The 12867-nt window shown below is 41.1% G+C and overlaps 1 annotated feature.

Annotated features, from left to right (window-relative positions):
• Positions 9444 to 9644: a silencer, noted in NCBI's record as "peak6615 fragment used in MPRA reporter construct". NCBI's record gives its function as "represses an SCP1 promoter by STARR-seq MPRAs in K562 erythroleukemia cells {active_cell/tissue: K562}" and the evidence as "EXISTENCE:reporter gene assay evidence [ECO:0000049][PMID:32103011]".

Here is a 12867-nt window from a genome sequence, read left to right as displayed (position 1 = left end):
ATTATAGACTTGTTCTGGTGTCAGATTTTCATCAGTGATAACTTGGGCACGCTCATCAATCATTGCTGCTTTATGATCAGCAGATGCTTTATCACCTCAAATTGTAAAAAAAATAATGTTGTGTCTTAAATGTATGCAGCCAGATATATTGAATATTCACAGTTCCCTTCAATTTCCAGTTCATCATAAGTCTTTGCTCATTTCATTATCAGCATGACATTAAGTGGCAAGTGTTCACTGCATCGCTGACCGATCCAATTTTTCAATACATGATCAAGACCATTATTTTTAGTTTTATGCAGTGTTTTTCTGTTTTTACTAATTTTTATTCATTATTTTTAGCATAGAACTCCAACTGTTTATCCTTCTATTGTTTCAGGTCATATATGGTGGTCATTCTGACACCATACTCTTCTATTAAGATGTTTCACATTCGCACCACTGTCCAGTTTCTCCAACAGCTTGACTTTCTGTGCTATCCTATAAACATAAATGCTTCCTCTTTTGTTGGTATCTGCAGGCCTTTTGAACATTTTTTCAGCAACATCTTTACACCACAGGGTAGAAAATAAACAAGAAAACACAAGGAGCAATGCATGTAGGTCTTTACTACATGTAGGGCATTTTGGGGAACCGGCTGTTGGCACATCCAGTCTGCACATGTGCTATTTTATTACGTTTTATGGGTGTGCTTTCATGGAGGAATTTGGTCATGCACAGAAAATATATATTGCAGCTGAACTGGGGTGGAAGGGTCTTTTTTCCCTTGGAGACATTGAATAAACTCTGTGTTGTATGCCTGCATTTTTACTGTGATCCATCACTTGGGGTCAGGTGTATCAGACTTTGGAGAATTTTGGATTTCAAATTAGGGATGCTCAACCTTTGTGTGTGTGTGTGTGTGTGTGTGTGTGTGTGTGTGTGTGTGTGTGTGTGTGTGTGTTTTGAGACGGAGTCTTGCTCTGTTGCCCAGGCTGAAGTGCAGTGGCGCAATCTCGGCTCACTGCAAGCTCTGCCTCCCGGGTTCACGCCATTCTCCTGCCTCAGCCTCCGGAGTAGCTGGGACTACAGGCACCCGCCACAACGCCCAGCTAATTTTTTGTATTTTTAGTAGAAACGGGGTTTCATCGTGTTAGCCAGGATGGTCTCGATCTCCTGACCTCGTGATCTGCCCGTCTCGGCCTCCCAAAGTGCTGGGATTACAGGTATGAGCTACCGCGCCCGGCCAACCTTTGTGCATTCTTAATCCCATCCACAGCATCTCAAGTTAAGTAACTTGGCCAACAAAGTGCACCAAGTGGGCGTGATAATGATAGCAATGACATGAGGAAACTGTTTCCAAAGGGGATTAGGCAACCTCCCCAAAGTCGCTCACTAAGAAAGTGGCAGAGCCAGTTCTAACTCCATAGTCCAAAAGCAGCACTGTCAGCCTGGAAAGACTACAGAAACTTATAATCTTGGCCAGGCGCGGTGGCTCACGCCTGTAATCCCAGCACTTTGGGAGGCCGAGGCGGGTGGATCACAAGGTCAGGAGTTCAAGACCAGCCTGGCCAAGATGGTGAAACCCCGTCTCTACTAAAAACACAAAAATTAGCCGCGCGTGGTGGTGGGCACTTGTAATCCCAGCTATTCGGGAGGCTGTGGTAGAGAACTGCTTGAACCCGCGAGGCATAGGTTGCAGTGAGCCGAGATTGTGCTACTGCACTCCAGCCTGGGTGACAGAGTGAGAGTCCGTCTGAAAAATAATAAAAAAAAGGAAACTTATAATCTTAGAATTGAAAGAGACTTCATAGATCATCTAGTTTGTTCAAACTCCTCCAGCACACCAATTTTACATATGTAGAAACTGAAGTACAATAATATTAATGTGCTTTCAAATGAGGATAAGATGTGAAAGTATTAGTTCAATTGAATTCTTTGTTGAGTGTGTTGTAGGTATTCACATTTTAGTAAGTAAAGAAGAGGATGCTGTGATAATATCTGGACAGAAGGATGTTGCTGGCAGTGGGCTAATGATCAGTGAATGAAGTGAACAAGATCCAGGTGTTTGTGCTATACTGGGCTCCCCACCCACATTCCTCATAGTTCCCCTATTTTCCTGTCATATGCTTATAAACTGTTGAGGGCAACATGGGAGTTTAGAGAAATCATAAAGGTGTATTTTAGGAGTATGCAGTTCCCCCAAATTAGCCTGTTCTTTACCAGTTTCCAGTTGGAAGTACTTTTGTTATCAAAAACAATTACAAGAAATTGCCCATTAAAAGGAAATATGAGTAGATCTGTAAGCCTGAACTGTAAGGTTCTCTAGATGGTCTGTTTACTAGATCTCTTGCAGAATAAAAATCATTTGTAATGTGATAGGGTCTTTTTTTGCTTTGGACAGAAATGAATACTTTACTCATGGTATTTCATTTTTAACAACTCCTGGCCTGGCACGGTGGCTCACGCCTGTAATCCCAACACTTTGAGAGGCCGAGGTGGGCAGATCACCTGAGGTCGGGAGTTCGAGACCAGCCTGACCAACATGGAGAAACCGTCTCTACTAAAAATACAAAATTAGCTGGGCATGGTGGCGGGCGCCTGTAATCCCAGCTACTCAGGAGGCTGAGACAGGAGAATCACTTGAACCCAGGAGGCGGAAGTTGCGGTGAGCCTAGGTCGCACCATTGCACTCCAGCCTGGGCAACAAGAGCAAAACTCTGTCTCAAAAAAAAAAAAAAAAAAAAAAGGGCAACTCCTTTGCTTCTCATTCAAAGCAAAGCTCATCCTCCCCTACTATCTTCAGTCATGTCCAGTTAAGTGTACACACTCCACAAAGCTACCTTCTATCAAAGAACTTTTTCCTGTGAGAGAGCCACTTCTTCCAGGATACAGATTCTACAAACTCCCTCTCTCTAAGGAGCTGGTTCCAGTGTTTCTCATCCTTATAATCAGGAAGTTCATCTTTGCGTTTACCATATACAATCCACCACATTTCTCCTGGCTGTGCTTGCTGTGCCACTGGGACAAGCTAGACAAAATTCAGTTACTAGGGAACCTTACCAAACTCTCAAGGGATTGGCTACTGCCATGTGAAGTACCAGGACAAATTGTAATGTGCCCACCATGCCCTTTAAGTGACAGTAATCCCCCTCTGATGCCCAGCTCAGTCTGGCCACTCCTGGAGATTTTAGTACTCCCAATTTATTGTAGCCCTCTTCCTCACATTCCCCAGCAAAACAACTACTATTAGCTATTAAGTGTGGAGAAAAGTGATTATCTAATTAAATATTTTCCATTTAACTATGAATAATTTTAAAAAGACTTTTTTCTCCCCAAGTATTTACTTTTTAGAGTAAGCCCCTATTGATTAAGGAATAAAATGCTTTTTACTGAATAATATTAGTAGTTGGGGCTAATATTGCCTCCTTTCAGCCCTGCTTAGAAATAAGTTTAGAATAAGCACAATCAGAAACGACAAAGGTGCCATTACAACTGATTCCAAAGAAATACAAAAGATCCTCAGAGACTCCTGTGCACATCTCTACACACGTAAACTAGAAAACCTAGAAGAAATGGATAAATTCTTGGAAATGCACAAACTCCCAAGATTGAATCAGGAAGAAATTGAAACCCCAAACAGACCAATATTGAATTCCAATATTGAAACAGTAATAAAAAAATCTACCAATCAAAAAAGCCCAGGACCAGATGGATTCACAGCTGAATTCTCCAGACGTACAAAGAAGGGCTGGTATCAATTCTACTGAAACTATTCCAAAAAATTGAGGAGGAGGGACTCCCTCCTAATACATTCTATGAAGCCAGCACCACCCTGATACCAAACCTGGCAAAGACGCAAGGAAACAAGACAACGACAGGCCAGTATTCCTAATGAATACAGACGCAAAAACCCTCAACAAAATACGAGCAAACCAAATCCAATAGCACATCAAAAAGTTAACTCACCATGATCAAGGAGGCTTCATTCCTGTGATGCAATGTTAGCTCAACATATGCAAATCAATAAATGTGATTCACCACATAAACAGAATTGAAAACAAAAACCGTATAATCATCTCATTAGACTTGGAAAAAGCTTTTGATAAAATCTAACATCGTTTCATGATTAAAAAACCCTCAACAGGCTAGAGGCATCAAAGGAACATACATTAAAGTAATGAGCCATCTCTGAGAAACCCACAGCCAACGTCATGCTAAACAGGCAAAAACTGGAAGCATTCCCCTTGAGAACAAGACAAGGATACCCACTCTCACCGAGAATCCCCACTCTCACCACTCCTATTCAACATAGTACTGGAAATACTAGCCAGAGCAGTCAGGCAAAAGAAAGAAAGAAAGACATTCAGATAGGAAAAGAAAAAGTCAAACTATCTCTCTTTGCAGACGATATGATTCTATACCTAGAAAACTCTAAAGACTCTGCTAAAAGACTCCTGGAACTGGAAAATGGCTTTAGTAAAGTTTCAGGATACAAGATTAAATGTACAAAAATCAGTAGCATTTCTACACAACAATTATGTTAAAAATTAGAGCCAACTCAAGAATACAATCCCATTTACAATATCCACAAAAGAATAAAATACCTGGGAATACGACCAAGGAGATGAAAGATCTCTACAAGGAGAACTACAGAACACTTTTGTAAGAAATCACAGGGCCAGGAGCGATGGCTCACGCCTGTAATCCCAGCACTTTGGGAGGCCAAGGCGGGTGGATCAGCTGAGGTCAGGAGTTTGAAACCATCCTGGCCAACACAGTGAAACCCCGTCTCTACTAAAAAAAATACAAAAAATTAGCCAGACGTGGTGGCATGCGCCTGTAGTCCGAGCTACTCGGGAGGCTGAGGTAGGAGAATAGCTTGAACCGCGGAAGTGGAGGTTGCAGTGAGCCAAGATTGCGCCACTACATCCAGCCTGGGCGACAGAGTGACACTCAGTCAAAAAGAAAAAAAAGGTTGGGTGCAGTGGCTCACGCCTGTAATCCCAGCACTTTGGGAGGCTGAGATGGGTGGATCAAGAGGTCAGGAGATTGAGACCATCCTGGCTAACACGGTGAAACCCCGTCTCTACTAAAAATTAAAAAAAAAATTAGCCGGGCGTGGTGGCGGGCGCCTGTAGTCCCAGCTACTCGGGAGGCTGAGGCAGGAGAATGGCGTGAAACCGGGAGGCGGAGCTTGCCGTGAGCCGAGATCGCGCCACTGCGCTAACAGACTGGGCGACAGAGCGAGACTCCGTCTCAAAAAAAAAAAAAAAAGTAATAATAAAGTGTTTAGCAGATTATATTCATGAAGCCAATAATGTCTATTATTACTATTAGATACTATAGTCCAAATTATCTTTGATTCTATAAATATTTGCATAGCTTCATCTGAAAAGCTTTCTGTTTTATCACAGTTCATGCTAACAGTTCTGAAATGCAGAGTAGAGCAGAAACTCAGTTTTTAAAATTTGTTCTTATAGGTCTGATTATATGTCCTTTGAAGATTTTGGTTGCTTTTCCCGGAATCTCCAATTAATCTGTACCGTATCTACAAGCATTTATTTTTCTTATATTTCTGTAAAATGTGTACATTTTTAAATGTGAAAAGTCAAAGCAGAAACATTGCTATAACTAAGCCCTAACCAATACTGAGAACCAACGAAGGATAACCTCATAATTGGTAAATTTTATATTATTTCTACGTAACACTATTAGACTCATTTTAAAATGTGCTACTTTCCTGACTCTTTTCTTTTTCTTTTTTTCTTTTTTTTTTTTTTTTTTTTTGAGATGGAGTTTCACTGTCTCCCAGGCTGGAGTGCAGTGGCATGATCTCGGCTCACTCTGAGATTCTGGTTCCAGCGGTTCTCCTGCCTCAGCCTCCCGAGTAGCTGGGACTACGGACGCGAGCCACCACGCCCAGCTAATTTTTGTATTTTTAGTAGAGAAGGGGTTTCACTGGCAGGGCATGGTGGCTCACGCCTGTAATTCCGGCACTTTGGGAGGCCAAGGCAGGCAGATCACCTGAGGTCAGGAGTTCGAGACTAGCCTGGCCAACATGGTGAAACCCCGTCTTTACTAAAAATACAAAAAAAAAAAAAAATCAGCTGGGCGTGGTGGTGGGTGCCTGTAATCCCAGCTACTTGGGAGGCATAGGCAGGAGAATCGCTTGAACTCAGGAGGCAGAAGTTGCAGTAAGCTGAGACCACGCCATTGCATTCCAGCCTGGGCGACAAGAATGAAACTCTGTCTCAAAAAAATAAAAAAATTAGCTGGGTGTGATGGCACCTGCATGTAGTTCCAGCTACTTGGGAGGCTGAGGTGGAAGGATTGCTGGAGCCTGGGAGGTTGAGGTTGCAGTGAGCTGTGATCATGCCACTGCACTCCAGCCTGTGCAACAGAGCAAGAGACCCTGTCTCAAAAAGACAAAAAAGGATAAAAGGAGGTCTTGAATGTTTCACTTTTACCCTCTTTATTAGGAATGTGAAATTTTTTACATGTAATAATTAAAATATGCTATTCTTTCAAACAACATACAAATGGTACTGTTACTTGTTGCATCATTTCTATGTTTTCAACTTTGTGTGCATGCATTCATTTTAAGTTATGATTTTGGATTCTGTTTTTATTTTTAAAAAACCAATAAATTTTCTTTATGAAACTATCAAAAAGCAAGTGCTAATTTATTTAATATATTGTCCAGTTGAGAAATGGTCACAGGATCCAAGAGGCCATGTGTCATGAAATCAGATAAATCATTCCTATGTTGTGGAGGCTGAACTGCTTTTGTAAGTACCTGGGAGGTCTGGCCGGATTTCCGGGTTGAATTATAACAATCTTTTATGTCATGGGATGCCTTGCCCAGGTTGTGCAATGTAACCATGAGAACCAAGCAAACCTGTTGCTCAACTAATTCAATTCTGTTTCTTCTATATCCAAATCAGGTTATTTCCATACAAACACGGTTTAATAGAATATTTACCACCTGACAAGGATTGTAAAAATTTCTGTGGACTTAGTGATAAAAAAAAAAAAAAAAAACCTAGATTGAAAATATGTTGTGAACCAGCTAGGGCTCAGAGGACTTTATGGTCTTGATAAAATTCAGGTTCAGCCAGGAACAGGTGACATCAGATGCAACTGTTCTTTACATGTGGCTCTCTCTATCTCCTTTCTACCCACCTGGGCTACCCACAAACTTCTTCCTCATCCTAAGACTATGCTGCAGGTGTGGTAGGTGCGGCACATACCACTGATACAATGCCGGAAGAGACACTTTTACTTCCTATTAAGGCCAAAGGCCAGGTTGGTCATTTGATTAGGAGTGAATGGGGTTGTTCTTGATCTAGGGCAGAAGGTGGGAGTGAAAGAGGAGTATATGAATGGTCCTGACAAGACAGCATATTAAATGTTATTTTGAACTCTATCAAATTTCTATAGTTTTAACACAATGACTGATAGTCATCTATTTCCTCTGAAGTAGATGATTTATTTATTTATTTTTTTGAGTTAGAGTTTTGCTCTTTGTTGCCCAGGCTGGAGTGCAGTGGTGCAATCTCGGCTCACTGCAACCTCCGCCTCTGCGGTTCAAGAGATTCTCCTGTCTCAGCCTCCCAAGCAGCTGGGATTACAGATGCCCGCTACCATGCTTGGCTACTTTCTGTATTTTTAGTAGAGACGGGGTTTCACCATGTTGACCAGGCTGGTCTTGAACTCCTGACCTCAGGTGATCCACCCGCCTCAGCCTCCCAAAGCGCTGGGATTACAGGCGTGAGCCACCACGCTCGGCCAGATGATTTATTTTTATGCTTTGTGTTCTGCCTTCTAAATCTATTTTGAGAAAAATGTAAATCAACTAAGTTTGAACTCAATTTCAATTTGTACTTAATTCAATAACTTTCCTTTTTTTTTTTTTTTTTTTGAGATGGAGTTTTGCTTTTGTCACCCAGGCTGGAGTGCAATGGCATGATCTTGGCTCACTACAACCTGCAACTCCCGGGTTCAAGCGATTCTCCTGTCTCAGCCTCCCAAGTAGTTGGGATTACAGGTGCCCACCACCATGCCTGGCTAATTTTTGTGTTTTTAGTAGAGACGGGGTTAAGCTATGTTGTCGAGCCTGGTCTCAAACTCCTGACCTCGTGATCCGCCTGCCTCGGCTTCCCAAAGTGCTGGGATTACAGGTGTGAGCCATCGCGCCTGGCCTTAATTCACTAACTTTTCAAACATTAATCCCTTAAAGAAAAATAGAATAAGTCTAATCTCAAAAAAATGGATTTGGAAAATGTATTTTTAAAAAGAGAGGGAAAGGGCCAGGTGCGGTGGCTTGTGCTTGTAATCCCAGCACTTTGGGAGGCCGAGGCAGGCAGATCACGAAGTCAGGAGTTCTAGATCAGCCTGGCCAAGATGGTGAAACCCCGTCTCTACTGAAAATACAAAAATTATCTGGGCATGGTGGCAGGTGCCTGTAATCCCAGCTACTTGGGAGGCTGAGGCAGAGAATTGCTTGAACCCGGGAGGTGGAGGTTGCAGTGAGCCAAGATCACGCCACTACACTACAGCCTGGGCAACAGAGCTAGACTCCATCTCGGAAAAAAAAAAAAAAAAAAGAAAGAGAGGGAATGAAATTGCCAACATATCTTTGGGCAATTCTGTGCTGTAATTTTCCACTGTGAAGATCTGAAACTTCTAGGGATTCTGTTGAAATACTGCTCTTGCATAAGGTTTTTCTTCTTTGCTTTGTTCTATAATGTTTAGAGCCCACAACTGCTTTGTTATATTATGAGGATATTTCAAGATCTAACCCATATAAAGATATGCAGATTATTAATCATATCTATGTAATAAATGATTACTGAAGCCCCACTATGTGCCAGTCACTGTCTATATGCCAAAGATACAAAAATGAAACTCCCAGTCTTATTGGGGGAATATATACAAATCTGAATAATATGAAACAGTCACAGAGATGTTAAAAGAGACATTTACAAAGTACAACTGGGCCAGAAAATGGAACAACTTATTGCGCCAGAGAGTCAAATAATGTGATAATATTTGATCAAGATCTTAAAGGATGACTAGAGATTCATCCAGTGGGTCCACCCAGCCGGAGTAGGCATTCCAATCACAGGGAACATTGTTTGCAAAAGGAAGGAGACCTGAAATGCAAGATAAATCCAGAAAGTGGCCTGGAATCATTGGAATTTAGGGTACAAAGATTAAGCATAACTCCCTCTTGCCAGTTGGCTGGTTCTCTCAGCTGCCTCTCACATTCTCCTCTTAGGATCCTCTCCTGCCTCAGCTCCTGATGCAATAGAGCTCCTCTTTCTCTAGCCTTGCATCTCTGGTCATCCAGTAGGTAATTTGAGCTAGTTTACAAGCATCAGACTCCTTTCATGAAATGGACACACCTTGTGCCTCTGTGTATATTACTCTCTAACAAAACCAGTCTGATTACTCCAACCGCTCATTAGGGTTTATTCCTAAAGACTTTTCAGCTATTTTCAAGTCCAGTCTACCCTTGAAGAGTGAAGATTTGTCACCATTCGGGATACTTAATATATTGCTAGTCCTGAAAGTAATCCTGAGAGGTATCCAAAAATGTTTTGGGAAATTATAGCCTTTTAAGATGATTCTTTGAAGAGAATCTTCCTTTGGATATGCAAGCTCCAGTGTATTTTAAAATAGTCACATATTGTTAATGTTTTAGGTATGATAATGATGTTGTGGTTATGTTTTTTAGAAAGTCACTTTTTGGAGATATATACTAAAATAATAAGGATAAAAATGATGATGTGAGATTTGCTTTAACATAATCCAGTAAGGGGAGGAGAGGGCAATGCGGGGAGTACAGATGAAATAATACTAGACATATATAGATAGACTTTCCAGCATATAGCTAGAAATGCTGGATACAATATAACAAACAAAAATGTATACACAGCTGAATTTGGAAAAAAAAGAAAGAAAAAATCCCCAGTGTCCGAAGTAAATTAAGGATCTAAAGCTAGAGTAGTTTCATTGTACTAGCATATTTTTGCATATGTTTGAAATGTTTAAGAACAAAATGTTTAAAAACAAAATGTTTTAAAAAAATCACCTAGGCTTTGGGAGGCTGGCGGATCACGAGGTCAGGAGATCAAGACCATCCTGGCTAACACGGTGAAACCCCGTCTCTACTAAAAATACAAAAAATTAGCCGGGCATGATGGCGGGCGCCTGTAGTCCCAGCTACTCGGGAGGCTGAGGCAGGAGAATGCCGTGAACCCGGGAGGCGGAGCTTGCAGTGAGCCGAGATCACGCCACTGCACTCCATCCTGGGCAACAGAGCAAGACTCTGTCTTAAAAAAAAAAAAAAAAAAAAAAATCACCTAGGCTGGGTGCAGTGGCTCACGCATGTAATCCCAACACTTTGGGAGGTCTAGGTGGAAGAATCGCTTGAGCCCAGAAGTTCGAGATCAGCTTGGGCAACATAGTGGGACGCCCAAATTAGCTGGGCATGGTGGCACATGACTGTAGTCCCTGCTACTCAGGAGACCGAGGCCAGAGGATTGCTTGAGCTCAGGAGATTGAGGCTGCAGTGAACTGCGATCATGCCACTGCACTCTAGCCTGGACAACAAAGCAAGACCCCGTCTCTAAAAAACAAAACAAAACACAATAATCAGTTTATTATCCACTCCATAGGTTAGGAGAATTTGAATGTTTATAAAGACCTTATACCTTTCCTGTAAAAAAATTTTAACATATATTTATATGTAGATAAATAATATTTTAGTAATTCTAAAGGTAAGTAGACAAACATATACTACAAATCTAATAAGTTCATGTTTGCCAGAAATCTTTTACCCCTAAGCGTTTGTCACTTCTTATTTCAGCCTGTTACTGTTTTTTATTTTATAGCACAACTATACTACGAACACTAGTGAATAAATACTATCAAACGTGGCTGGGCGCAGTGGCTCACACCTGTAATCCCAGCACTTTGGGAGGCTGAGGCAGGTGGATCACCTGGGGTCAGGAGTTCGAGACCAGCCTGTCCAACCTGGTGAAACTCCGTCTTTACTAAAATACAAAATTTAGCTGGGCATGCTGGTGCATGCCTGTAATCCCAGCTACTCTGGAGGCTGAGGCAGGAGAATTGCTTGAACCCGGGAGGCCGAGGTTGCAGTGAGCTGAGATCATGCCACTGCATTCCAGCCTGGGTGACAGAGCGAGACTCCATCCACCTGCCCCCCCAAAAAAACCAAACCAATAAATACTAACAAATGTAAATGTAGAGATGTTTTTCTCTCTGTTACAATGTGTCACTTTATGTTGATTTATCTTCTTTATAGCACCCCAACACCACCTGTTAAAAAATTTTTTTTTTAAAGAACTCCAGGCATTCTTGGACAGTAAAGAGCTTGCTAAAATCAGGTTCCTCCTTAATTCAAATTGTTTAGCCTGTAAAGTAGCTTATATAGTGTGATGTCTTTAGCCCTTCTTTAGTATATAAAATGTTTTGTTACAAGAATGGTAAGGCGACTTGGCAGGTCCTCTTTGTCCCCAGGAGAGCACACAGACTCAAGGGCATAGGGTGAGCTCACCTTTGGACCTCAGAGATCCCTTGGAGATGAATAACTACCATAGGCAAAGTTGTGCTTCTGTTTAAATTGACACTGAATTCATACATACGCACTTTGTAGTGGTTCTCCTTGCCCGAAATCCAGCTTAATTAACACACTCTAGTTGTTAATTTTTTCGTTTTATAAACCACCTCTGCAAATTTCAACTTTTACATTTTCCAGTATACTCCCCCTTTAGGTGAATGTTTCCTGAAGTAGAACCTAAGGACCATCTGCATCTGAATCAGTTGGAGTGCTTGTTAAAAATGTAGATTCCTTGAGATCCTGACATTTGCAACAACACGGATGGAACTGGAGGTCATTATGTTAAGTGAAATAAGCCAGGCACAGAAAGACAAACTTCGCATGGTCTCATTCAATTGTGGGAGCTTAAAATTAAAATAATTGAACTCATGGAGATAGAGAGCAGAATGATGGTTACCAGAGGCTGAGAAGGGTAGGGGGGGCCACAGAGGTTGGGGAAATGGAGATGGTTAATGGCTACAAAAATATAGTTAGAATGAATAATATCTGCTACTTGATAGTACAACAGGGTGACCAGAGTCAACAATAATTTAATGTACTTTTAAAAATAACTAAAAGAGTGTAATAGGAATGATTGTAACACAAAGAAAGAATAAGGCTTAAAGTGATGGATACCTCATTTACCCTATTGGTTATTACCAGTAGGTAATAACCTTTATCCTCCTCCCACCCTCCCACCTTTTATAGTCTCCAATGTCTATTATTCCACTCCATATGTCCATGTGTACCCAGTGTTTAGCTCACACTTATAACTGAGAACATGAGTATTTAAATTTCTGAGTTATTTCACTTAGGATAATTGCTTCCAATTCCATCCATGTTTGCTGTCACATTAATAAATGCATAACAAATTCTTTTGCAATTAGATGGTTTCCTAGTTTGCTATTAATAAGCGATTTATAGATCTTTGTAGGAACGTCTGCAATTGAGTCATCACCTGATAGATAATTAAAAAATAATTTTTGATACCAGATTGCCCCAAGATTTTTGACATGATTCTGACAGAGTGCAAAGAATTGAGAGCACTGTTTCTATTCCTACCTACTTATTTATGCAAACAAATTTTCCCAGCATTTACATTAATAATAAAACAGAAAAAGGTGGGGGGAATGAAACAGATTGAACCATGTCTCAATATAGTAAGTAATTTTTATCTAAGATACCTGACTTAATTTTAGCAAAACCAGCCAGGCTCCACCCAGCTAGTTAAGAGATAGATTTAAATAAAAATTTACTTT

The sequence above is a fragment of the Homo sapiens genome, chromosome 7 (assembly GCF_000001405.40).
Source record: "Homo sapiens chromosome 7, GRCh38.p14 Primary Assembly".
In the NCBI taxonomy this organism is placed as follows: Eukaryota; Metazoa; Chordata; class Mammalia; order Primates; family Hominidae; genus Homo; species Homo sapiens.
Note: the sequence above shows the minus strand (reverse complement) of the source record. Positions and strands in the feature narration are given on the sequence as shown.